The sequence below is a fragment of the Homo sapiens genome, chromosome 16 (genome assembly GCF_000001405.40).
Source record: "Homo sapiens chromosome 16, GRCh38.p14 Primary Assembly".
Lineage (NCBI taxonomy): Eukaryota > Metazoa > Chordata > Mammalia > Primates > Hominidae > Homo > Homo sapiens.
In genome coordinates, this window is record NC_000016.10 from 49590053 (window position 1) to 49617811 (window position 27759).

Sequence of the window (27759 nt, forward strand, 5' to 3'; positions counted from 1 at the left end):
TGGTCCATACAGACGTGACCAGAGATGTCACCTTTCCCTGCGCAAGGTACTTGGAGTAAGGCAACCTGGGAAATTATGGAGTCAGAACACATTGATTTTCCCGCAGCAGATCCAGGCAGCAGCCCTGATGAAGAATTACAGAAGAAATGCAATAACCTAATTCTCCTCCAACCTGGCCCTGCTGCGCCTGCAGCCCTAAGCGTACCTGGCTGGGGCTGCGGGCAGCACCTCCTGACCCGGGCATGCTGCACAGCTGGACTCCCGTTTGGCACTGCCGGGCAGTCCCCCATTCCCAGCCCCGGCTCACACCCAAGCCACAGCACTCACACCGGCCACGTTTTCAAGACATGCAGGCATCACGGCTGCTTCGGGGGGCAAGGGTCTTCTGGAAAAGAGAAAGCCACAGATACGGGCATTCTTGCTCCCAGCTCACCCCAATTAAAAGCAGGGATAAAGACACACACTCATTATCACCCAGGGCCAGGGAGAGCCTCTGCACATCCCATACAGGAGCTCCAGGGCACCAGGGTGACTTAGCCAAGGCTGGTGGGAAGCCGTTCCCCCAGCCCTGTGCTTCCCCTTGGTCTTCTCCTCGATTTCTCTTCCCCTGGAAGCGTCTGTTTCAAGGTGACCCTGTTTCATGAGTTAGCCCCAGCGTCCCCCGCCTGCTCACAGAACCAGGGGCCTCCCAGTAATTAACACCCGCACTTGATGAGGTCCAGCTGGCAAACTGAAGCGATGCCAGCATCCTCACACCACAACCTGGGCTCCAGCCGGCCCGGTGAGGGCCTTTCCCCCACCACCACTCTGGCCACTCTGTCTCCAGAGAAGGAGGGGAAAGTCACCCATTTGGTTAGGATGATGTTCAATAGAGAGTTGTTTCTAATAGTGACACTACTAAAAGCTCCAACGGGAAATTTAAACTGTGGCACTTCTTATAATGGAACACCAAGCAGCCACTAAAAATGATGATGTAGAGACATGTGTGCTGACACAGAAAACTGTCACTGCCTACTGTTGGGGGGAAATGATTACAAAATAATATGGGCATTGTAACTCCACTGGAAACCAAACCAAGTGTGCTAAAATAGTACGGACAGTATAAGTCCACTGCAAACTAAACACAAGTGTGCAAAAATAGGATGAGCATTGTAACTCCACTGGAAACCAAGCCAAGTGTACAAAAATAGTATGGGCATTATGACTCCACTGGGAAGCAAACAAGTGTGCAAAAACAGTATGGGTATTATAAGTCCACCACAAACTAAACATAAGTGTGCAAAATAGTATAGGCATTATAACCCCACTGGAAACCAAGCCAAGTGTGCAAAAATAGTATGGGCATTGTAAGTCTACTGAAAACTAAACATAAATATGCAAAAACAGTATGGCCATTTATAACTCCACTGGAAACCAAACCAAGTATGCTAAAATAGTATGGGCATTATAAGTCCACTGCAACTAAACACAAGTGTGCAAAAATAGGGCATTATAACTCCACTGGAAGCCAAGCCAAGTGTGCAAAAATAGTATGGACATTGTAAGTCCACTGCAAACTAAACACAAATGTGTAAAAATAGTATGGGCATTATAACTGCACTGGAAACCAAACACAAGTGTGCAAAAGTCTGTGCATTATAACTCCACTGGAAACTAAACAGTATGGGCATTAAAACTGCATTGGAAACCAAACACAAGTGTGCAAAAACAGTACAGACATTAAAACTCTGCTGGAAACCAAACATGAGTATGCAAAAGAGTAGGCAGTGATTCCATTTCTACACAGGAAAAAAAAACAGGCACCACTGTCTTTGCTGTTAGAAGTCAGGGTTGTGGTCCTCTGGGGGCTGGGACAGGAAGGTGCAGGAGGTGAACTTCTGGGGTGTGGGTCACACTGTGTCATGATGTAGTGCTTACCTGGGTTTGGTCTGGGAAAATTCAGCAAGCTATCTGCTGCTTATGACAAGTAAGCTTTTCTGTATGTAATGCATCAATAAAGGGTTATTACATTAGGTTGGTGTAAAAGTAATTGAGGTTTTTGCAGTTGCTTTTAATTTCTATTTATTGATATGTCTACTTTTCTGTATAAATATCAAACTACAACAAAATGCTTTTTAAAACTGTATCTATGCATGTGTGAACACACAGAATTGGGAAAGGTAAACATCAAATTGTTAACAGCAGTTTTCCCTGGGAGGTGAGATTAAGGGTGATTTCTATCTCTTTCTTCTGTTTATCAGCATTTTTTTTCTTGTAAGGAAAGTGTATTATTTGAGTTTTTTAAAACACAGCTTTTTTAAAAACAGGAGGGGCAGTTCAGCTGAAATTATAAGGAACACAGCCAATTAGGAAAATTGATAACAACCACCACATCATCATCTACTCAACAAATAAAGCATAAAATGCAGTTTGGGACCTATTCGACCCCAGAGTCTTCTTAATGCAGGCTCCCCTAAAACACAGTGACAGAATTCTTTTGCAGAAGTCACTTGCAGGAGTGAATTCTTTTTCCCTGGCCTGGGCCATAAGCCATGAACCAAAACGTGAATAAGACAGCTCTGTGTGCCAGGGCATCGCTGTAAAGCCTATCCTCGTCACCCACACCAGCCGGGAGTCAGCCACGTGCAACCAGAGAATAGTTACACAAAAGACAAAGCAGGCAGGAAACTCAAACCCACTCAGCAAAGGTGTGTGATGCCCCCACCTCTGCCAGAACCGGCGGACCTGAGGGCTATCCCCTCGCCTCCCCTCCCCACATGCTCCTTGCTCATTTTAGATCCATTTCTAACAGATCAGTCTTCACTCTGCGATGCCCAGATTCACAGGCTCAACTTCTCACTGCCATCCATAAACAGGGAAGAAGATATGTTAGCAAGGTGTGGAGAGACAGCTTTCGTGCGGTTGTGGGTCTGGAGAAGGGTCAGTCATCCAGGTGCAGTCATCAGCTCACCCTCCCCAAACCAAAATCCTTCAAATACCTGATCAAGATGGATTTGGAGGAAAGGTTGTATGGGGGAGTGAAGAGAAGGGGGACCCCTGGTGGTGACTGCTATCCACAGCAATCCAGCTCTGACCCCAAACTCATCCCCACCCCAAAGAGCCAAACCTCTGGGCTCTGCGTGGTGGCTCATGCCTGTAATCTCAGTGCTTTGGGAGGATCACAAGAAGCCAAGAGTTCAAGACCAGCCTGGGCAACATAGCAAGATCCTGTCTCTACAAAAAAAATTTAAAAATTAGCCAGGGGTGGTGGCACGTGCCTGTGGTCCCAGCTACTCAGGAGGCTGAGGTGGAAGGATTGCTGGAGCCTGGGAGGTCAAGGCTGCAGTGAGCTATGATCATGCCACTGCACTCCAGTCTGGGTGACAGAGTAAGACCTTGTCTCAAAAAAAAAAAAATTTCTCTGCCATTCACAGACCTCACTCTTGTCCCTTAGAGGTCTCACCCCTGCCTCTCCCGCCAGAACCCTCTCTGAAGTCTGGCGGACAGGGTTTGCAGAGATCTCTTTCTGGTGGGATTGTAGCACCTCCCACAGGTCAACTTCCAAACTCTACCCTGACTCTCTGCCTGCAACCAAGCCATATGCCCTCCGTGCCTTTGTTTCTCCATCTGTATACATGAAACACCCAAGCCCCAAGCCTGCTCACAGAGAAGGGAGAATGGCCTTAGATCTCCGAGAAGCCCCCAAGACCAGCACCGCTGGTGTGGGACCTGGAAGAAATCCACTTCCTTTGCAAAGTGAGTAAAGCTTATTTAGGAAAGCACAAGGTTGGGGAGAGGGGGCCGCGGAGGCAACACACTACTGAAGAGAAGACCAAGAACTCTGCCAGGGGCTCAGAAGGCAGCAGAAATCTCTATCTGTAAGAGGCTCCTCCTGGCCCCCCATGGAACCCGCAGGTTCCCCAGAGGCAGCTTCCTGTCCCCTGCAGGAGAACAGGAGGAAATGTTGTCCTAGATTACTGGGGATGGACCAAGTCAGGATAGAACTCAAAAACTAGCAGTGCAAAGCGAGTCCTTGAGAACCATCCCCTCCCCTCAGCCCCCCAGCTGCCTGCCTTTCAGCTGGGGGGTAAACAGAAGTGGGGACATATCTGGATTAAGAACCCAGAGCAGTAAATGTTCCCTTCCAGATTGTGCAGGGTGTTAGACCCTGGTTCAGTTGTCTCTCTCTTTATTAAAAATTCCACACTTCCCTCCCATGCGCCATCCCCTCTGGCCCCTCTGGAATCTCTTCCCTGCCTCCTCTCTCCTCTCCTTCCATCAGAAAGTTTGGTGGAAAGAGATGGCCACACCCTTGCGGTAACACAGCCAGCTGCCTCCAAGCTGGGAAGCCCCCAGGCCTCTCTCAACAGAGGGAATGCTTACCTCTCTCACACAGACACACACACACAAGTGCATACTGACACAAACAGAAAAACACAGGCATACAGAAGAGGGGTTCACTGTCACACCCAACATACACACAACACACAGACAGGAATATAGAGACATACACTCCAAGATAGACACAAAAACACAGATAAACCCACAGATCCAAATACAAAGCATTAAACACATAAGACCACAAACACACTCAAAGACAAACACAAAGCACAGAAAGAAGCATCCAATGTGTTAGCCCAAAAAAACACCCACAGGCACAAAGACATCTAAACCCATAAACAGAAGACTCGAAACAAACTCACGGGGATGCAGATGGACAGGCGCAAATATAACACAAATTAGAGCACACACGGCCAACAGCAGCAAGAACAACATGATACACAGAGGCCACCACTCAGGCTCACAGACATACCCTCAGGAGCTACGACAGGCACACACAGGGCTGTCAACGCAGATGTCTTGGGAGAGCAAGAGGGCGGAAGGAGGCTGGTTCTTACAAAACTGGACCTTGGTCAGTTGCTCCCAAAACACAGACAAGGCCCAGCCAGGCTCTTTCAGAACTCCTTGGCATCCTCTTTCTTGTTTTGGTCCTTAAATTCCTCTCCACCCCACCACCTTGGCCATTTTCACCCTGAACACCCGGGTGACCCCAACAGCACGATCTGCGTCACAGCTAAAGGCGGGAGGGCAGGGAGTGCTGCTGAGGTGGGGGTGGGGGGGTCTCTCTTGTGTCCCCTCCTGTTGGTTTTCCTCCCCAATGAGGACAGTACAAAAGAGGGGCTCAAGAAGTTAGGGTTTCCCTGCCACTCCCAGCTCCAGATGGAGCTCACATGTGGTAAACCCACACTGGGACATTGTCCCTGGACATACTTCAGTGGCTACAGACAGAGGCTGAAAATCAAGGTCAAATCTTTCCAGAAACCCCAGGGCTAAACTGCCCTCCAAACAGCCCCTGATCCTGCCTGAACTTAAATTCCCAGGCGCACTCACTAGCATCTTCCTGCCTTCCCAGCCACAGACCAGCTTAGCCTGACTGATTAATAGGGAGAGATCTGCAACTCATATTTAGCACTCAACTGGAGGGATTCACAGGTAAGAATTCTATTTTAAAAAATAAAGTGCCCACCAGTACCTGCATCCAATGATAGGCTAACAAAATTTTTCTGTGCAGTTAGTTCTGAAACAGTAAACTAAGAAATGAACTCAAAAACCAAACCCAGATTCACTAATCTTGAAACATCCACCAAAATAGCACCAAACTTTTAAACCATGCTCGCTTCCTGGAAAATAAAAATATCAATTGTCTTTTTAAACCTCTATAGTATTTTGTCAATATTTTTTTATTACAGCAGAGAATGTATAAATATTTTATTATAAACCAAAGGCCTAAAATAAACAGTTTAGTAAATAGTTATTACATTACAAGGAAAAACATCTGTGGAAACTGCTTTCCATGTAATTATTCTTGCTATTTTACATTAGCGCTCAACGTGAATTTCTTTGGCACTAATGTTTCACTTGTTCTAAATCTTCCTCCTTGTTGCTATTATTAAAATCTTAAAAAGGTGCCAAATCTTAAATGAAGAAAAAAAAATGATTCACTAGAAATTATTCATATCACAGTGAGCCACTACTAAACCTGGCAGGGGTGCAGTATTTTCGGTGAAATTAACATAAAATATACAACTGCAAATTATCCAGGAAATAGCTATGTTCTTTACGGCATGCTTTTACATTGGGAAAAAAAAATGTTCTTCTTCATCTCGCACAAAGCCGCAAACAGCTCCATTCCGGCAAGTTTTAAAGGGAAAGTAATAGATTTGTCAAAGGAGCACGGGCTTTGAAAACAGACTAACAAATAGCTCAGGGGTGGATCAGCCTTAGGTAATTACCAGAGACAACGTCAGCCCTGGACAGCCGGAGTAGATAGAGAAGGCAAGAAAAACAACAGCCCGCAGCTTCCTTCCCCCTCGATTCCAGAGAATGTATTTCCTCTCGAAGGCCTCAGCCCTTACTCCTAAACACAAGAAAAACTGTAACACCATGTAAAATGCAAATCTTGCTGTAAATATTTTATAAAATTGTTGCATACATCCCAAAAGCTATAGGTCTTAATTGAGAGCAGGCGATTTTTCTAGTCAATATATGGAAATGGAAAATGCTAATTTGTGTTTTTCTACTTATGAAAAACCCTGGAGAACAGCAAGCCACAAATGCACTCACTTTAATATTATAAATATAATTTGGCTCCCTCTCTACCATCCCCACAGCCCTGGCTTTTATCTCCCCGTGGCTGCAGGAGAGAGACAGAGAATCGCTTTCACAGCATCAGCCCGGGAAGGTGGCCTTGCATGCTGTGCAGAGGAGGGGGATGTCAGGCACAGGGCTGTGTGCTTCCCCACTCCCACCTCTTCACCCCCTAGGGATTGGCAGGCAGGGATGGAATATGGCAGGGCCACACGCCAGGAAGCACAGCCCAGCCATTCTGTTCCAGCAAGGGGCAGAAGCAAGAAGGATGCCTGGGGTTTCGGCCACGTGGCTCCTCTCTGCCCTGTTGGGTCGGCTTGGGCTTCGGGCTCCATCCAACCACCTAAGAGCTCTCTCTGGGCATCGAGAGATCTCTCTGAAGGTCAGCCCTGGAGCAGCTGTGATGAACAGGAGCAGCTGGCAAGATGGCTGGAGCACTCCAAGTTGGGAGTGTCTGTTTCCAAACCACAAAAAGAGTAACGCCACTGCCAATGTTCCCCAAGAGCCTGCTCCTCTGGCCAGGGGAAGATCAGCCCACAGCCCAGGCCTCACAATGCACCTCCCAGTGGGAACCTGGGGGAGGAGGGTCTCCTACCTAGAGCTATCCTATCTACTCCAGTTGCCACTAGCCACATGTGACTACTGAGCAACTGAAATGGGGTGGGTCTACCCTGAGACGTGCTGTCAGTCCAAAATACACACCATATTGTTAAGGTTTAGTACGATAAAAGAATGTTAAAAAAGTCTCATTCATAATTTTTAAGTTGATTATATGGTACCATCATAATATTTTGGATATATTGGGTTAAACAAAAAGTATACTCTTTAATTTCACCGGTTTCCTTTTAATTTTTTTTTAAATGTGGCTAGTAGAAAATTTGAAATTGCACTTGTGGCTCGAATCCTATTTCCTTTGGACAGCCTGCTGTAGAGGATGCTCCAGTCTGCCGTGTGCAAGCCTGCCTGGTGTCCATGCATGTCGGTGCCGTTCTCTTAGGTACCGTGTAAATGGGAGGCCCCCAACATTATGATTCTAGAGCTCTGCAGTTCTCAGAGTTTGGGATTCTGTGATTCCAACAATCTGCAAGTCTACAGCTCTAAGAGGGCACAATACTCAGAGATTATATTACTATTGGTTCTCTGCATTTAACACAGACTTTACAAATACCATTATGAAGAGGGCAGGACCACAGCCCTGGCCTTGTTCATTCCTCAGTCAAAAAGGGCTGGAATATTTGGTAATCACAGCTACCTTCCCCGCATCCTCTCCTAAACCCAAACATAGCTCAACCCTCCCTACGGCAGCCTCCTGGGTGACTCCCACCCTCCCTTACTCTCCCCTGCCCACAATGCAGAACAGGTCCTCATGGGGAGAGCTTGTCAATCACACACAACCTCCTTCCCTGGGTAGTATCTGCTTCCTGGAAACTGTTCCTCAACTTCTCCTCACATGTGTGTATTTGAAGAAAACAGCCAGAAAGAAGACAGGAGTGGTGAGAAGGACACATTTAGAGTTAGGTAGCCTGACTATACCTCCAGGCTGTGCAACTTTCTAGCTGTGAGAGCTTAGGTGTGTTACTGAACCTCTCCTTGCCTCCATTTCCTCATCTGTCACATGGGAACAATAACTCCTACTTTATAAAACTTTGAGGGAAAACTGCAATAATGCACGTAAGGTGCCTGGCCACAGCACACACTGCATAAACAGTGGCTCTTATTCCTTTTACCATCATTATCATTTTTGTCATTCCAGAGCTGGCACTTGGAGCATCATTCCTGGGGGCAGAAGCAGTGAAGGGAAACAGGTGTCAGGCCAGAGTGAAAACCTGTGTAGAGGAGAAAGGGGGCTGCCTGGAGATTTGTGGGCCCTCGCTGCTGACAGACCCCAGCTGGCTGGTGAGCACGCGCACTGGGGACAAAACTGGGTAGGGCATTCCACTGTACAGGAAACTGAGCAAGGGAGGCCATCACGCCAAAAGGCCCAGGCCTGGCCCTGCAATCCTGGCTGTGCAGAGACACCTGAAAGTCCAAGGTAAGAGCTGTCTGCTGAAGAAACTCACTGCTTCACTTCCACATGCTTTTGGAAATATCCAGGGAAAAACTGAAGTGGTCGGGGGTGATGTTAGGACTGGATGCAGATGGTTTATAACTACTGCAGCACTGTAAATGGTTGCTTCTAAAGGGTCTGAAAGTATTAGGCTGAACCACATGAAAATGTCATTTTGGTAGGTTCAAAACTGGATGCTCAACTTACTATCTTTAACACCTGAAAGTGGGGTGACTATTGGCTGGAATGAAAGGCTACATGGTTTCGAAGAAAGCCCCAGTTTCTGAACTGTGAGTTGGAGGCCACACTTCACACCAGGCACCCCGGGCTCAGCAGAAATCCCTCCCTAACTGTACACATGTGTGTGCACACACATAGACACACACAGACATGCACACAACATGCTTGTCTGCCTTTGAAATCGCTTACAGGTTGGAAGTAAATTAAAAACCAAGAAAGAAGGGAGGGAAAAGACACAGACCCATCTAGGCTTGTGCAATGGCAAATTTCCATGTTCCAAAGAAAAAGGCTAGGTTACTTGGCAGCCCTTAAAACTCAAGGGAAACCTACCCTGCACACTCACCCCACTGCAATCAGTATACAACAATCTGCGCCCAAGTGAAGCTCATTGATGTAAAAGGCTCCAGTCCCTCAGTGTTCCCTGGGACTGTGCTGAGCACTTGACCATAGATTCCTTAATCCCCTCATTTCACAAATGTATAAACCAAGACTCAGAGAGGTTAAGGAACCTGCAGAAGGTCACACAGCAAGTGAGTGGCAGAGCCGGATCCCAAGACCCCAGAGCCAGGATTCATAGACAACATGGAACACAGATGGGCTTAGCAGCACTGTGAATAACAGCCCAAATCCAGGTACAACCCAAGCACCCAGCAACAGTAAAATGCACATTTTCCCATATTCACACAGTGCAACAAACACACAGCAATACAAAGGAACACACTGCTGATACACACACAACACGGATGGATCTCACCAACTAAATGTAGAGCCAAAGAAGCCAGACACAAGGACCACAGGATGCATGGGGCGATTCAACAGAAATGACACTCAGAAACAGGCAAAACTCATCCACCGTGGAAGACGTCAGAACAGTGATTGCCTTTGGTAGGGGTACAGGGGTATCAGCTAGAAGGAAGCCTGAAGAAAATTACCGGTGAGGAGGAAGTGCTCAATTTGTTGATGTGGGTGCTGGTTACACAGGTGTACACACTTGTAAAACTGTATCACGCAATACCATAAGATCTGAGCCCTTCACTGTATGTAAGTTAAGCCTCAATTAAAAGGGGCAAGAGGCCGGGCGTGGTGGCTCACTCCTGTAATCCCAGCACTTTGGGAGGCTGAGGCACTTGAGGTCAGGAGTTTGAGACCAGCCTGGCCAACATGGTGAAACCCTGTCTCTACCAAAAATACAAAAATCAGCCAGACATGGTGGTGCATGCCTGTAATCCCAGCTACTCAGGAGGCTGAGGCAGAAGAGCGGCTTGAACCCAGGAGGTGGATCTCAGCTCAGTGCAGTGAGCTGAGATCGCGCCACAGCACTCCAGCCTGGGCGACAGAGCAAGACTCTGTCCCTAAAAAATAATAAATAAAAATTAAAAAAATAAAATAAAAGGGGGCAGATCCTCCCAAGTTATGGAGGCAGCAAGGACCCTCACTCGGGCAGCTCTCCCCACAGGATGCGATGAATTCGTGCAGCCCTGCAGGAAGACACCCCAAAGCCAAGCCAGCAGAAACAAGAGTCCCCTAACCAGCCTCACAATTCTAAACTCAGGGTCAGATAGACACAATTCTGGGCAACTTCTCGGTCTCAGTCTTCCATGGCAAAAAGTGACAGGAAGGGCCCCCACAGCAGGGGAGATGAGGCCCAGCAGGGAACCATGCGCCATGGCCTCCCCTCTCTCGTGGGGAGCAGGAAGGAGCCGGCCGACGTTTATTACCCGCCAGCGGCAAGATTGACTGCAGCCCTCCTCTGCCCACACTGCGCCATTAGCTCGTAATGGCCCCGAAGGCTCCCTCGGCCACAGACCCAGGCCGGAGTGAGTGCTCCGGCTCCGACACCAAAGATACTAATGACTACCACATTGCCGAAATAAATCACCGTCGCTCAGGAGGGGCTCCGGCCCGGCCGGCGGCCTCCAAACTTCATTTCACGAATTTCCCCTTAACACTCAGCTGCCTTACTGAGGGGGTTCTCGGGTGGATGCATCATCGGAGAATTTCTCTGATATGATGTTTATAAAGAAGGAGAAAAAAGAAAAAATGGGGACTATTAATCTCTGCAACTCCACAGGAGTCCACATTGGTGGGAATTTGGAGGTTGGAACAAAATCCTTGTCTGAGACTGGACAAGGCATTCAAGGATTCGGAAGGGCCCATGTGCTGACGACGGACTAAAAGGGTCTCCTAGAGAACCCGGCTCCCTCTAGGTAGATGCTCCAAATTGGGGACAATGTGGCATGGTGGTGAGGCACACGGGTTCCACAGCCATACCACGCGGGTTCCCATCCTGGCTCTGACATCCGCTGGCTGTGTCACCTTGGGCAGGTCACTTCACCTCTGTATTCCTCAATTTCCCCATCTACAAATGGAGAGAATAGGGGTATCCCTTTGGGGCTGATGGGAGAATTAAGTGTTTAGAACAGGGCCTGGCATATAAGTGCTATACACTCATTTGGGATCAATATTACTGTTGTTATTATCGTGTTAAAACTCTGAAACTTCCCACAGGAACGGAACCTGGTTAACATTGTGAAATGCTCCTTACTCCAATTCAGCCCTGGTATTGTTGAAGTGTGGATCCCAGAAGGGGAGTGACTTGTTCAAGGTCACAAGGCACATGGTGGGGACAGGCTGGAGTCCAGGCTGTGGCTCGTTCACATAAAAGGCAGCCCTCTCTGTAAACATGCAACGTCAATGACACAGGGGTCTGCGCTGCACAGCAAGTGAGCCAGGGAGAGCTGCAAGCTTCTCTCTGGGCTCAGTCAGCCTGTGGTCCCCCCTTGGCTTTGGGACCTGCAGGCGGTGCTCAGGAACACAGCCGCAGCTGGAGAGCATCCTCCCTGCCTGTCTTCCTAGAGGAAGCAGGAGCCAGGGCGGAGGAAACAGATGGGCAGCCTCAGGCAGGGGCTTGTTCCTCAAGACCCTGAGTCCTCCTCTTCTCCCTCCTTGACACACAACCTTCATGTCTCTAGGTGATCTGGAGTCTTTCCTATAAACCTCAGCTTTGGCTGTGGAGACTTGTTCCAGCTCTGACTTAACTCTGGTCCCAGCACTGGGTCTTGCATACAGTTGGTGCTCAATTATTGTTTGGGTGTCATTACATCTCTGAGCCATAAAGCTATGCCAGCCTAGGCTCCCCGGCTTCCTGTCCTGGACCAGAGATGCTCTGTTCTGAATCTGACTCCCTGGAAGCCCCGAAATAACAGAGAGGGGCTAGAGTCCAGTTCATCACTGCCTCCGCCAGGAAGGCCTCCTGACTTCTTCAGCACTCCCTGATGGCTGTTCTGACAACCAGTCCTCCCCAAGCTGCTCATGGCCTAATTGCCCACACCCTCAGTTTTGCTGCCAGCCCCTGGAAGGCAGGGTGTGAGGAGGCCCTCCTCATCTTTTCTGCACTCGAAGAGTTTCACCGTAGAAGATGTCCACAGCCTTGACAGCCCAGGCTGAGGGTGGGGGTGAAGGTCAGGAGGGGCTGCACAGAACCAGGTCAGCTGGCAGGTCATGAAGGTGTCCATAGACCAGGGCACACTCAGCGAGTTTCGGGTGGGGGGCAGTTTCAGCAGATTCCTCCAGGTAGCCTAATGTGGGAGCAGAAGTGTAAAACCCGGCAGCCCCATCCAAGTGCCTTCTGCCCAGGAAAACAAGTGCCTGGGCTCCAGCCGCAGGCCCAGGGCACAGGCTGGGTGTGGACCAAATTCCTTCTCAGCAGCCATGCGTTTCCAGCATGCAGGAATTGCTCCTGCCGATTCAAAACCAGGTCAGAGAAAACCGGCTCTTGTTTCCGGCAGGGGTGAGTGTTCCTCCCAGGGAAGGGCTCCGCAAAAGTCTCCAAACCGAGCACAAGAGACAAGTGGGAACCAAGCCTCATTCCCTCGGTGGCCCCGCGGCTGCCAAAATTACTGACAAACTGACCTACAAAGAGAGTTTCTATTTTGTGAGCAAACCCCAAAGGTTAACAGCGGAGCTGCCGGCGGGCGATCAGCACCGAGGAGCGGAAGCTTCCCCAGCAGCGCCCGCGTGGAGCCCTGGCACCTCGGTTTCGCAGAGAAACGTGTCCCTGAAATGCCAAGGAGAAAGGGAGGATGGGAGGAGGAGGTTCCGAAACACTGGTGCGAGAAAAGGGTCTGGATGGGAGGATACCAGCCCATCACCAAGCAGCCTCTCTGTCCCAAAGTTCTGGATCACTGTCACTATCTGGGGCCTGCTGCAGTGATCTCTGGCAGGGCCGCCAGGGACCACAATGTAAATGGTGTCCCCTAGAGTTGTGCAGTAGACAACCTGCACAACCATATCCTGCAGGCCTGTGTCCTGTGGGGTTCCTGTCACTCAAAGAATCTTGCCTCCACACAGCACTGGCTTCAAGGACGTGTAATACATGCAGTCACACAGGTTCCTGAATTTAGAAAAGCCCAGCATATGGTTTTATACCCTACTGTCACTGTCTAGATTTTTTTTTTCTTCAGACGAAGTCTCACTCTTGTCCCCCCGGCTGGAGTGCAGTGGTGTGATCTCAGCTTGCTGCGACCTCCGCCTCCCGGGTTCAAGTGATTCTCCTGCCTCAGCCTCCAGAGTAGCTGGGATTACAGGCGCCCGCCACCACGCCCAGCTAATTTTTGTGTTTTTAGTAGAGACGCGGTTTCACCATGTTGGCCAGGCTGGTCTCGAACTCCTGATCTCAGGTGATCCGCCCACCTCGGCCTCCCAAAGTCCTGGGATTATGGGTGTAAGCCACCATGCCCGGCCTAGAAATTCTTAATAATTTTCTGACATACAGCCCACATTTTCATTTGGCATCAGGTCCCACAAATTATTCAGCTGATCTTTCCTCCATGTCTGAGAGCACCAGAGCCATGCCTGAATAATTTATACCAAAAGTAAGAAAATAGCCTCCCTCCTTCCTCATCCTCCAAGCAGTCCCCTTGTGGCTTGCCAGGAGCAGGGGTAGGGCTTGGAGAGCCCTGGGGACAGGCAAGGGCACAAGGATGCCAGAAATCTCCAAAGCCAAGCCCTGATACAGGGAGAAGCTTTTGATAGCAGGAACCCATTTGAGACGAAAGGCCCTTGGGTGTTCTCGTACGATACCGGTGTCTGAGCTGCAAGAACAGCCCCTGGTTGTGGCAGTGGATGAGCAACAGAAAGCAGGCCAGATAATATGCACAAGCAGGCGGCAAACAGGGTCACCATCAGCACCCCGCTGGCGGGCACCCGGGCCCCTCACCACTGTCTCTCAACCCAGGCCTCTCAAAGCACCCACGGCCACTGACATTTCATCACATCTGACCAGCCACCTGTGAGAGAGTGCCCTCACCATTGGGGTCACAGAGGGCTGAAGACTGGCCACAGCCACCCTCCAGGACAGGCCTGACCCACACCTCCCCTAGCCCTGGTAGTGGCACAGTGGTCCAGGACAGAGCTTTCCAGTGAAAACTTCAAAGGACAGAACAGAGCAAGGCGTCACCCAACCCCATCTAGTTGGCCCACGGGCACCTGCCTTGAACACGCTGCCACACTGCAGTTTGAGAACCAGTGATCTAGTGGCCTCGTTTCTAGTCTCCATCAATATTAAATAGTTGCATCACCTCAGCAGGGTTCCTAAACCTCACTCTATTTCTGTATCCATAAAAGGGGCATCCTGGGTTTGTGCAAGAGCTCAGCTTTTTTGAGGGATGCACAATCACGGTCAGTGCAATCCCTGCTCCCTCTGCCCCTGTCCCAACTTCCAGTCTGGCCATCTGGTCATGCAACCTGAGATCCTTCTCCCATCCTCAAGGCTCAGAATTTTGCATTGCTCTGCCCCTGTGTCTGACCACCAAACACCAAGAAGCCTGCTGCATCCACCCCATTCCTGGGCTGCCACGACCACTGTCCCTACTGGTGTGATGAAAGCCGGACACTGTCCCCTCCAGAACCCAGACTGTCCACATCACCAGATCCTGGGAGGGCAGAATCAGAATGCAAAGGAACAGTTGAAAGAAAAATAAATCACACCCCAGAGGAAAGGGGGAAATGTATTACCACTTTCAACTTTTGCCTCGGATGCTGCCTGGCTTAATGTATTGGCTTCCATGCCCATAACAGCCCACTCTTCTCCTCTTGCCAAGGGTATTGAGGGTTCTAGAAATAGTCCCGGCCCTGGGTCTGGGCCACTGGGTCCCAAAGTCCCAGCTCCCAGGTTCCCACCGAGCTCCAGGTCTCACCACCAGCAGATGTAGTATCGACCAGAATTTCCCAGACTTCCCTGGAGATACAAATCCTGGGGGTGGAGGATGCTTGTTGGCTACCCAGATTTCCAGGCCTCCTCACACCCAAGTTCCATCTCTTCTCTCGTTCATTAAATACTTATTGAATGAGATGGAACTTGGGCGGGTTTGCATCCATCCCAGCCTCTGGCCAGCTGTGCAACCTCGGGAAAGTGTCTGTCCCTCTCAAAGCCTCAGCTTCCTGAAAAGTAAAATGGACCACTTAGTCGTGAAGCTTCCAGCTTTTTCTTGGCTTCAACAGAGCAGCAAGCCCCTTCTAGACACTGCTCCAAACAAAGAGAGAACTCCAACTCAGCCTTCTAAAAGAGAACCAAGCCCATCCCACCTCCTTCCATTCCCCAGAACAGACCCTCAGGCCCCCTTCTGAGCGACAGCAGACACTCCCTCGGGAGAATTAAAATACTATTTTTCAATAAATGAAGCCCCGGCCCTGCACCAGCCCTGGAAGACTGTGAGCTGGGCGAGGTGGCTTCCTGCATGTGCCTCACTTATTAAGACATTGCCACTCTGAAGAGTGGAGTCATTCCCAAGGCCCCCGTTGTCACTGGCAGGCAGCGGTTGACTGACAAGTGTCAGTTGCAGCTTGCTGAGCAGCAGAGGCCAATAGACTGTGAAACAAGGAGCAGATGTGCTAATGACAAAACTTTCCAAACTGAAAACACAAGGAGCAGATTCCCGGGAAAGGTGTTTCCCCAACCTCTACCTGGTGATGGGACGAATGAGAAAAACACTAGCCAAACACAGAGCTCAAAGTCATCAAGACTTCGTAATGAGAATGCAACAGGGGCTGAGCAGAAAGAGGGAAGGGCCGCTGTCACAGCCGCGTGCACCTGCAGCCAGCGCCATTGTCATAGCAGCTCTGAGGATGTAACAAGAAGCAAGCAACTGTCATCAAACTGTAAACAGAGTGAAAGCTGCAGAAGGACATGTAGGAGTCACTTTCCTATGGGAAAGTCCCATCCTTTGGAGTTAGAGCAAAATAAAGTCCTCTCTTAGACGCTCTCCTGTGCAGTAAGAAGAAACATCTGTAATGCCCACCGACAGCAGAAGGGGCCTGGCATGAGGGTATGTGACTGGGAAGACACACGCTGGACCTAGAGAAGCCAGCTTAAGAGCGAGGAAATGGTGTCATGCCAAGCCCATGGTTAGAATTCAGTAACACTTGCTGAGGAGTGGAGGGACAGAAAGAGTAGAAAATAGGGTAACCAGCAAAGTTGATATGCAGAATGTTTCAACAACTGGTGCACCAGGGTCCCCACCAACCTGAATTATCCCAGGGGGTGATGTGGTAGCCCTGATGGACTGGGGGTTATCCCCTCAAGTGCTGGGGATGCCCAGGGGGCTCAGGTCCCAGAGGGAGAACCTGTGGATAGGGGTCTCAGGGCAGAAACTATTTGCTAGGTGGTTAGGAAGCACATGAATGTTTTATCAAACAGTACAGTGGTACTGGTGCATACCAGCTAAGGTGTCCTGACACAGGTGCCTTGGTGAACAGTGATCACAGGGGCCCTGGGATGGGTGAGAACACAGCGAGGAACATTCTAACTATCTTTTCACTTATATGTTCCTTTAACTGACTGAGTAATGCTCCTGCCATCTCTGAAACAAGGCCTCCCAAGTCTCCGAGCAGAGAAGTGGGGACCATGCAAGCCGTGTGAAGGCCATTGGAACCAGAGCAGAGCCCACCGGGTGGGGGTCTGCAGGGAGAGGAGGTCACCAGGAGAAAGAAATGAGCTGCCCCAGGAGCAGGAGACAGAGCCAGATGTCTGAACCCAGATTCTGATCCTGATGCTGCAGAAAGAAGCCCCAAAATGTTTTATGGTGAAACGTTAAATGTTTTGGATTTTTTTTTTTTTTTTTGTAAAACAGATCTTGACAGTTGAGAGAGTCAGAGTCCTTCATTCACACAGGTGACTACTGAGTTGTTGTTTTGTTTTTCCTTTAAGGAAGCAGGCCTTATGATAAACCCTTCATGAAAACCCCACTCAGGATAGCATTTTTTGTGGTCCTTGCATAGTGAAAGGTGCCTTTTGTGGCTCACTGCAGCCCTGCATAACAGGCCACAGAATTCAGAGTTCATAAACATAAGAAGATTAACTAAGCCCAGCATGGACTGAGGACCTCAACTTCAGCATCTTTTAAGGATTCATGTTATCAGTAGAAATGACTACCTTTTTCCCAAAGCTATGGGTTCTTTACTGTGTATGTTGATGTTTGATGGGAATCTAATCCTAAGCCAGATTCTGGGGGCAGATCACCAAAACTGAAGAAGCTGGGTTTGTGTCACAGAGCTTCTTGATTTCAATCAGCCCCTGCAGCTTTAAAAGAGCAGCCCACGGAATCCTCTTCCCAAAGTGAAAGGGCTGGATAATGGGGTTGTTTTAGTCATATGAAAGTAAGGATCATTCTGTATCTTAATAGGCCCATAATTAATTCACACATTCAACTGTTAAGTCCAGAAATATGTTCATGTTGACAATTTGCATTTGATGCTTCAAAAACAATCTGGCATGTTTTTATTTGCCTCGAAATCTCAGGAACATCCACCCCTTTCCATTATCCATCCAAATGCTACAATTCCACAACAGCTTCCTAAGGCCCCACCTGTGGGAATGCGGGGAGGGGGCTCAAGATGCCCAGTCAGGAGAAGTGGTGTTAGTGCGAGAGCTGTCCTCCTTTGAAGGACAAGACCACCATATGGCCAGTGGAATTTCCGTCTGCCCCTCCCAACTCCCATGACAACTTTTAGCCCTAGGCATCAATGACTGGAGATCATTCTACCACCCCATATCTTCAACACTGGATCAGTGATTTTCCCCTCAACCCCCAAGCACCAGTTATGCCCCACCTTTGCCCAGCTCCTGGTCTACACTATGAGTGCACCCATCTGATATGTCAGGTGGGACCCCACCCCAGCCTGTCTACCTCATCAGCTCCTAGGAGGATAAAACCAGAGTGAGAAGGACCATCGGAGGGAAGAATATAAAAAGCAATGCTGGCACAGGAACAAGGGATCGTTAGTATCAACGTTTACTGCTAGGCTTGATTTACAACTGCCACCAACAGGCGAGTCAGAAGAGGAGGGGAGGGGGAAGGAGGAGGGGCCTGAGCTCAAGCCCTCAAACTCTTAGCTCCAATTTCCACACCCTGAGTCCTACAAGCTAGCACAGAAGTTGCTGTGGAATAAAACAATGTTTATGGAGGTTCTCAGTTGCCTGTGCTGCTTCCAGATCACTCCCACAGATGTACTATTCCCTATTCCTCTGTCGAAGTACAACTAAAACCCTGAACATTATATATGAAAGAAACAGAAGAAGATTCAGAAAGGCAGAGAGAAGAAGCCAGACCAGCCAGGGACCCAAGGAGTGACAAAGCGGTGAGGATCCTGGGTTTTCTTTTTGCTTCATATATCCCAGACTAGGACCTGACAAAACTGGCAACCCAGAAACACCAACAAGGATTTTGCTTTAAGCCTTAACCAAACCCCACTCTTTCTAGCCAAAGGACCAGGAAAGATTTTTGCCTGGCAAAACAGAAAACGTTTAGACAATAACAGCTCTGCTCCAGGCAAACCCCACAGAAGAAAACTATGACCCCACCACCATCCACTCCAGCAAAGGCTGAATGGAGATCTGAGACTGCCGTGCTGGCAAGGCTTATATAATGAGGCACTCACCGCCCGCTCTTCCCATCCCTGTTAATGTGGCATCAGAGAAACCCTAGCAGGGAGCCAAGACAGTCATACTTGCTGGGCAGTAACAAGGCCTTTCCCCATGGTGTCAGTAGAGACCACATGGGGAGCCTGGACTCCCCTCCTACCTAACAGTAACAAGTGCCCTAACCCATCCTCCTGGTATAGTGGAGACCATGTGGAGAGCAGAAATGATGCATTCCTACCACGACTGCTCAGAGAGGTATGAGTGGAGACCTAGGGAGGAAACGAGCCTGGAATTCTACCCACACCTGGCAGTAGCAAGATGGCATCTGCACCCCTTCTGCACTGGAGTGGGGTCAAAGGAAGCCAGCTAAAACAGAGGGTTTAAATAAGATCCACAGTGTCATTATGTAATACATAAAGATTTCAATCAAAAATCATCTATCCTACCAAGAAACAAGATCTCAAATTCAATGGCAAAAAAGTCAATCAATATATGCCAAAATCAAAATGACAGAGATGTTGGAATTATCTAATGGGGAGTTTAAAGGAGGCATCATAGAATTACGTCAATAAACAATTATGATCATCCTTGAAACAAGTGGAAAAAAAAAGAAGTCCAGCAAAGACCTAGATAGTTTTGACAAAGAAATAGGAGATACAAGGAGGCACTAAATGGAAATTTTAGAAATGGATAAAGGAGAAAATCTTAAAACCCAATGAATAGGCCTAACAGCAGAAGAGAGAAGAGAAAAAAAGAATCAGTGAAATAGGAGATAGAATAATAAAAATCACCCAGAGTTTCAGGGGCCAGTGGGACTATAACATTTTTGTGATTCAAGTCCCAGAAGGAGATAAAAAAAAAAGAGGGCAGGATTGAAAATGTACTCAAAAGAGTGATGGCTGAAAAATTCCCAAATTTGGCAAGAGATGTAGATGTATTCGAGAAGCTGAGTGAAACTCAAAAGGAATAAACACAAGGAAATCCACACCAAGACAAATCATATTCCAACTCCTGAAAACTCCAGGACAGGAAAAAATCTTGAAAGCAGCTGGAGAAAAAATGACACCTTATACACAGTGAAAAAATAATTCAAATGACAGCAGATTTCTCATTAGAAACCATGGAGGCAAGAAGGAAGTGGCAGAGCATTTTTCAACTGCTGAATAAAAAAGAACTGTCAATCCAGAGTTCTTCTACATCCAGTGAAAATGACCTTCAAGAATCAAGGGAAAATTGAGATACTCTCAGATAAAAGAAAACTAAGAGAATGCGTCACCAGCAGAATCACCCTAAAAAGAATGGTTAAAGGAAGTTTTCTAAACAGAGAGGAAATGATTGGAACATTAGGTAGTAAGAAAGAACATGGTAAGGAAATTTTACTGTAGATACCACTAATTCCCCTTCTCTTCTTGAGTTTTCTAAATTATGTTTGATGTCTAATGTAAAATGTTAACACTGTCTGATGTAGTACTAAATATATGCAGAAGAAATAGTTAAGACAGTCATAAGTAGGGAAGAGTAAAGGGACCTACGGGAGGTAACTTTTCTACATTTCACTTGAACTGGTAAGATTATGACACCAGTAGTCTTTGATAAGTTATGTGTATATAATATAATACCTACAGTAATCATGATAAAAAGCTGTATCAAGAAATGAAAACACTACAGATAAACCAAAATAAAATTCTTAAAAATGTTCAAGTAAGTCACAGAAAGGAAAAAAGTAAACCACAAATGAAAAACAGAAAATAAAATATAAAATGGCAGACTGAAGCTCTCACATATCATTAACAACATTAAATATAAATAACCTAACTATACTAATTAAAAGATGAAGATTGGCAGACTGGAAGGAAAATGACTCACCTATGTGCTGTCTACAAAAAACTCACTTAAAATATAACAATACTGGCAGGTTGAAAGTAAAAGAATGTAAAAGGATATATCTTGCAAACATTCATTGAAAGAAAGCAAAAAGGCTATATTAATATTATATAATGAAGGCTTCAGAACAAAAAATTAGCAAGAAAGAAAAGAACATTAAACAATGATAAAGGGGTCAATCTACCAAGAAAATCTTAAATATGTATGCACCAAACAACAGAGCTGCAAAATATGCTAAGCAAAAGCTAATAGAGCTGACAGAAGAAATAGACATATCCACAATTATAGTAGGAAACTTCAGAACCTTTCTCTCAATGACTGATAGGACAACTACGCAGAAAATCAGAAAAGATACAGAAGAACTCAAAATCATTGACCAACAGGATCTAATAGACATTTATACAACACTCCACCCAACAATAACAGAATGCACATTTTTTCAAATGCGTAGAGAACAAATACCAAGACAGACCATATCATGGGTCATAAAACAAATGTCAACATATTTAAAATAACTGAAATCATACATAGTGTTTTTTCCTATCACAATGGAACCAAACTAGAAATTAATAGCAGAAAGGCAGGAAAGCCTCCAAACAATAGAAACTATACGACGTACCTCTAAATAATCATGGATCAAAGAGGAAGCTCATGGGAATTTTTTAATACACTGAACTGAACAAAAAAATAAACTACAACATGTCAAAATTCGTGGGACACAGCTAAGTAAAGGCTAAGAGGGAAATGTATAGCAATAAATGCTTAATAAAGAGAAAAAGTCTCAAATCATTAATTAAGCTTCCACCTCAAAGACCTAGAAAAAGATGAAGATAAACATAGAACAAGCAGAATGCAGAAAATAATAAGGAAAAGATCAGAAACCCTGAAACAGAAAACAGTAAAACAAAATTGAAAATCAATTAAACAAACAGGTGGTGTTTTAAAAGATTGATAAAATTGACAATTCTTTTAAGAAAACTAACAAAAAAAGAGAGAAGACACAGATTACCAATATCAAGAATGAAACTGAGGATATCACTACAGACACTACAGACATCAAAAGAATAATAAGGGAATAATACTATGAAAAACTCTACATACATAAATTTGATAAATTAGATGAAATGATCTGATTTCTCAAAAAATACAAACTACCAGAATACACATAATAAGAAATAGATATTTTGAATAGTCCTATTCTATTAAGGAAATGGAATTCATAATTTAAAACTCCCTGTAAAGAAATCCCCAGACCCAGGTGTTTTACTGGATAAATCTAACAAATGTTTAAAGAAGAATCAACACCAATTCTACATAACTTCTTTTGGAAAACAGAAGAGGAAAGGGCACTTCCCAGTTTATTTCAGTAAATTAATATTGCCCTATATTAAAACCCGGTCAAAGACAGGACAAGAATAAAACTTCAGACCAATATCCCTCATAAACACAGATACAAAAATCCCTGACGAAGTATTAGCAAATAGCAGTTAGCAATATATAAAAAGAAGTATACACCATGACCAAATGAGATATATATATATCAAGGATGCAAGGCTTACTCAATATTTGAAAACTGGTCAATATAATCCACCATATTAACATACTTAAGAAAAAGTGCATGGTCTCACAATAGGTACAGTAAAAAAAAAAAAAAAAGACAAAAACTTCAGGCATTTGACAAAATCCAACACCCATTCATGGTAAAAAACAAACAAACAAACAAACAAAAAATGCTTAGATAGAAGGAGAATTCCTCAACTTGATAAGGAGTATCTACAAAGAAAACCTATAGCTGTTATTTTACTTAATCGTAGAAGACTGAATGTTGTCTCCCTTAAGATCAGAAATAAGGCAAACATACCCACTCTCACACTACTGTTACTCAGCATAGTGCCAGTAGGTCTAGCCAGGGCAATAAGGCAAGAAAAGGAAATAAAAGGCATACAGATAGTTAAGAAATAAATAAAACTGTCCCAATTTACAGATGGCATGATTGTCTATGCTGAAAATCCCATAGAATCTACAGAAAAATTCCTACAACTAAGTTGAGCAAAGTCAAGCAATACAAAAATGAACATTCAAAAACCAACTGTATTTCTATATACTAGCAATAAACACATGAACACTGAAATTAAAAATGCAATACCATTTATAATTGCTCAAAAAATTAAAATAATTAGATACATCTAACAAAACCTGTACCAAATTAGGATGTTGAAAACTTTAAAAAAAAAAAAAAAGATGAAAGAAATCACAGGTCTAAATAAATGGAGAAACATACCATGTTAATGGATTAGAAGACTCAAGACAGTAAAGATGTCATTTCTCCCCAAATCAATATACACATTTAACATGATTCCAGTCAAAATTACAGCAAGAATTTTGGTAGATACAGACAAGATTATTCTAAGATATATATGGAAAGGCAAAAAGAGCTAGATAGCAACAATTTTGAAAAAGACAATCAATAAAGAAGGAATCAGTTTATTCAATTCCAAAACTTATTCTATAGCTATAGTAATCAAGACTATATTGTATTTGGCAGAGGGATAGGCACATACATCAGTGGAACCCAGAAACAGACCCACAGAAATATGCTCAACTGATATTTAACAAAGGTGCAAAAACAATTCAATGGAGAGGCTGGACAATGTGGCTCATGCCTGTAATCCCAGTGCTTTGGAAAGCTGAAGCAAGAAGATTGCTTGAAGCCAGGAGTTCAACACCAGATGGGCAACATAGTGAGATCCTTCTCCACAAAAATTTAAAAATTAGCCAGATGTGGTGGCCTATGCCTGTAGTCCTAGCTATTTTGTTAGGGGGGAAGTTGGTGCTGAGGCAGGAGGATTGCTTGAGCCCAAGAGTTCAAGGCTTCAGTGAGCTATGATCATGCTACAAACACTCCAGCCTGGTCGACAGAGCTAGATCTTGTCTCTAAAAACAAACAAAGCAATTCAATAGAAGAATGATAGCCTTTTCATCAAATGATACAGGATCAACTGGACATTCATAGGCAAAAATAAAAACAAAAACAAAAAACTTCAACCTAAGTCTTATATTGTATATAAAAACTAACTCAAAATGGACCATGGCCTAAAATAAAACTATAAAACTTTCAGGAAAAAAAAAATAGGAGAAAATCTTTGCACCAAAGGTATAATCCATAAAGGAAAAATTGACAAATCTAATTAAACAAAATTAAAAACTTTTATTCTGCAAAAGCTCCTCTTAAGATAAAATGACAAGCTCCAGACTGGGAAAAATATTTGCTGACCACATACCTAACAAAGGACTAGTACTTAGAATACATAAAGAACTCTCAAAACTAAATGGTAAAAAAGCAAATGATCCAATTAGACAATGGGCAAAATTTATGAAGGAACATTTCATCAAAGAGGAATGGCTGGCAAATAAGCCCATGAAAAGATGTTCAACATCATTAGCCATTAAGGAAATGCAAATTAAAAGCACAATGAGATATCACAATGCAACTATCAGATTGGCTAAACTAAACAAATAGTGACAGAACAAATGCTGGTGAGAACGTAGAGAAATGTGATCTTTCCTACATTGCTGGTAGGAATGTAAAATGGCACAGCCACTGTGGAAAACAGTCTGGCAATTTCTTAAAAAGTCAAACATGCAAGTACTACAGACCTAGCAATTGCACTCTTGGGAATTTACCCCCAAAATAACGAAAACTTAAATATAATTCCATTTATATAACAGTCTTGAAATGATAAAATTATAGAAACAGAGAAGAGAGTAGTGGTTTCCAAGGATTATGGGTAGGAGGGAAGTGTCTATGGCTATAAAAGGGCAACGGGAGGGATTCTTGTGGCAATGGAAATGTTTTGTAGCTTGACTGTATCAATGTCAATATCCTGGATGTGATATTGTACTCTAGTTTTGCAAGATGTTACTGTTGGGAGAAACTGGGTAAAGTGTACAGAGGACCTCTATGTGAATCTGCATGTGAATATACAATTATCTCAAAATAAGAACTTTATTGTCTTTAAGCTAAAAATGTTTAAAGGACAAATAAAAGCCCAGGAGGGGCTTTAAAAGAAGGGGGAATGGATAGGGAGCAGTGGCTCACAACAGTAATCCCAGCACTTTGGGAGGCTCTGGCGGGTGTATCACCTGAGGTCAGGAGTTCAAGGCCAGCCTGGCCAACATGGTGAAACCCCATCTCTACTAATAAAACAAAAACTGGCCAGGTGTGGTGACGCTTGCCTGTAATCTCAGTTACTCAGGAGGCTGAGGCAGGAGAATCACTTGAACCTGGGAGGCAGAGGTTGCAGTGAGGCGAGATCGTGCCATTGCACTCCAGCCTGGGCAACAAGAAAGAAACTCCATCTCACACACACACACACACACACACACACACACACACGGGGCAGGGGGGTAATGAGCACCAGCATTCTTCCCAGGCTAACTGGCTTGAGGCGTGGAGAGGGTGCAGGGTTGCCAGGTAAAATACAGGACGGCAGGCAAATGCAAATTTCGGACAAGAAATAATGTTTTAGTAGAGTATGTCCCATGCAAATGAATGGAGACATACTTCGACTAAAAATGTATTGGCTGTTTATTTGTAATTCAAACTTACTTAGCCTGTATTTTTAGTGGGTAAATCTGGACACCTAGAGGGGAAGGATGGGACAGGAGGGTTCTGGAGCCCCCAGGGACAGTGGGCTGAAAAAGGCAGGGTGGAAACAGGGAGAAGTAAAAGAGAATGAGCAAAGGGATGCCAGAGGACCAGAAAGGCACGCAGGCTAGGCAGTCCCATGGTGGGGGCAGAGGGCAGTCACAAGCTGGGAGGCCTGAAGTCCCCCAGCTGCTGGTGAAACAACCCTGTGTGGGGCAATCAGGCAGAAACCAGAGGTCTAAAGAGCAGATGCTGGAGTCTCGGTAACAGGGGGCCTGGCAGCCTGACCAAGGGGCTCCTCTAGGCACCAGGAGCATCACCCAGTTAAGCCCAGGCCAACCCCTGGGCCTCTGTCGCCATGACCTGGCTCCACCCAAATGGTCTCGCCTCCCTACAGGGAAAGGACGTGCTGAGCAGTGGGTTCAAGTGTTCAGGTCGGTGGGCAGCCACGTGCTTGACCAAAACAAAAAATGCTTTGATGAGACTTTGCTATCAGCCTGCAAGTCAGTTCCAGGGAGGCCGCTGCATACGTTTCATTTTCACCTTGCTCCCACACACACCCAGGACCCGCCCTTCTCTTCTGTGTGGTACCCATCACTATTGGACACAATCAGGAGCTCTTACTTGTTCTCTTAGTGAACACCTGTCTGCTCCCACCAGACACTATGCTCTGGGACAAAATGGCAAAGACTGTTCTGCTTGCTGCAATATTCATGCTTACTGCCTGGCACACAGTAGGTATTCAAGAAAGAAAAATAACTTGGAACTGGGGGACATTATGTTAAGTGGAATAAGTCAGGCACAGAAAGACAAATGTCCCATGTTCTCACTCATTTGTAGGAGCTAAAATTTAAAACAACTGAACTCATGGAGATAGAGTGCAGAGTGATGGTCAGCAGATGCTAGGAAGGGTAGCAGGGAGGGAGGGGAAGTGGGGATGGTTAGTGGGTACAAAAATATAGTTCGACAGAATCAGTAAGATCTAGTATTTGATAGCACAACAGGGTGACTACAGTCAACAATCATTTATTGTACATTTTAAAATAACTAAAAGAGTATAATTGGATTGTTTGTAGCACAAAGAAAGAATAAATGCTTCAGGTGATAGATACCCCATTTTCCCTGATGTGATTATTATATATTGCATGCCTGTATCGAAAGATCTCATGTACTCCATAAATATATACACCTATTATGTACCCATAAAAATTAAAAATTAAAAAAAGAAAACTGAATGAATGAAGGAATAAATGAAAAATCGGCTTGATTGGAGCTACTCCTTCTGGGTCTGTCCTCCAGGCCCAGCCCCTTGGAGTCTTGACAAGGCAGAGAGAGGGGGCCATTCTTCTTGCAGAAAGCCCTCAGGAGCATCCTCTGAGCTGATAAGCACTGACATCTGGTATATAGGCTTAGCATGGCCGGTTTTTCCTCTCTAAACTGGGACTCTATCATCATCATCATCTAATAACACTAATACAATATTGATAGATAGAATTTATTCAGAACTTAACATGTGCCAGGCAGTGTGCTGGGACCTTTTCATACATTTTAATTTATTTAATCCTCCAAACAGTGCCAACCAGTAGGTGTGGTGAGTTGCACTGTTTGTGCTGCCCCTTCTTGTGGAAATAAAAGCCCTCTTTCTTTTCAATAATACCCTTCCTACTTCCACTGCTGGGGGGCAGACACCCAGGAAGGGCAGGGGTCACCAGCCTGACCAGATAACCAGCTCCACCTCCCTGGCCATAACGATTGGCTCATGGGCAGCTTCAGGACGCTCCTGAGGCCAGTGGAAGAGGCCTTCCACTTTCTCCCCGCTGGGCCCCAAGGATCCAAGGCCAGGTCTGAGGCTCTGAAGCCCACTGGGTGCTCAGGACAGAGGGGACCAAGCTCTGGGGCCACTGGCCACAGGACCCTTGTTGTCTGCTGTTATTCCAGTAAGGCTCAGCCAGAAGCAGGTATGAGGGAAATTGCCCATGCATCAGCTGCTGCCAAGCAGCCAAATGACATCAAAGGATGCTCAACAAAGTCAGTTCAACAATCCAGGCCACCAAGCCCATGTGACATGACAGCAAGAAGAGAAGAACATGCTTATGAGCCGGCTCAAGCAAGATGATGCCAGGGCTCCAGTGCCAGCCCCTCCAGGACCAGCTCCATCAGCATCTCCCTCACTTCCATCCTTCCTCTTCCCCTCCCTGCTGGATCTCTCTCCCGAACCTAGAAACACACTTTGGTCTCTCTCTCTTAAAAATGCAAATACTTCCTGTTACCTTTGGAGCCTTCCAGCTCCCACTTCTCTCCCTCCTCTCCCAGCCTGGAACCCGGAAAGTCCACTGACACTGCTGCCCACCCCCATCTCCTCCTGACCCCTTCCATCTGATGCCACTGACCCTG

General features: G+C 46.0%; 1 protein-coding gene across 15 annotated transcripts in view, besides 4 other annotated features; it reads right to left on the reverse strand.

Moving 5' to 3' along the window:
• ZNF423 (zinc finger protein 423) overlaps window positions 1-27759 on the reverse strand; it is a 371756-nt gene that overhangs the window by 102529 nt on the left and 241468 nt on the right. The gene's annotated exons all lie outside the window — the stretch shown is intronic.
• Window positions 6887-7407: an enhancer, noted in NCBI's record as "H3K27ac-H3K4me1 hESC enhancer chr16:49630850-49631370 (GRCh37/hg19 assembly coordinates)". NCBI's record gives its function as "activates a minimal SCP1, AML or CMV promoter by ChIP-STARR-seq in naive H9 embryonic stem cells {active_cell/tissue: H9 hESC(naive)}" and the evidence as "EXISTENCE:reporter gene assay evidence [ECO:0000049][PMID:30033119]".
• Window positions 25193-25693: an enhancer, noted in NCBI's record as "H3K4me1 hESC enhancer chr16:49649156-49649656 (GRCh37/hg19 assembly coordinates)". NCBI's record gives its function as "activates a minimal SCP1, AML or CMV promoter by ChIP-STARR-seq in primed H9 embryonic stem cells {active_cell/tissue: H9 hESC(primed)}" and the evidence as "EXISTENCE:reporter gene assay evidence [ECO:0000049][PMID:30033119]".
• Window positions 25694-26194: an enhancer, noted in NCBI's record as "H3K4me1 hESC enhancer chr16:49649657-49650157 (GRCh37/hg19 assembly coordinates)". NCBI's record gives its function as "activates a minimal SCP1, AML or CMV promoter by ChIP-STARR-seq in primed H9 embryonic stem cells {active_cell/tissue: H9 hESC(primed)}" and the evidence as "EXISTENCE:reporter gene assay evidence [ECO:0000049][PMID:30033119]".
• Window positions 27212-27712: an enhancer, noted in NCBI's record as "H3K4me1 hESC enhancer chr16:49651175-49651675 (GRCh37/hg19 assembly coordinates)". NCBI's record gives its function as "activates a minimal SCP1, AML or CMV promoter by ChIP-STARR-seq in primed H9 embryonic stem cells {active_cell/tissue: H9 hESC(primed)}" and the evidence as "EXISTENCE:reporter gene assay evidence [ECO:0000049][PMID:30033119]".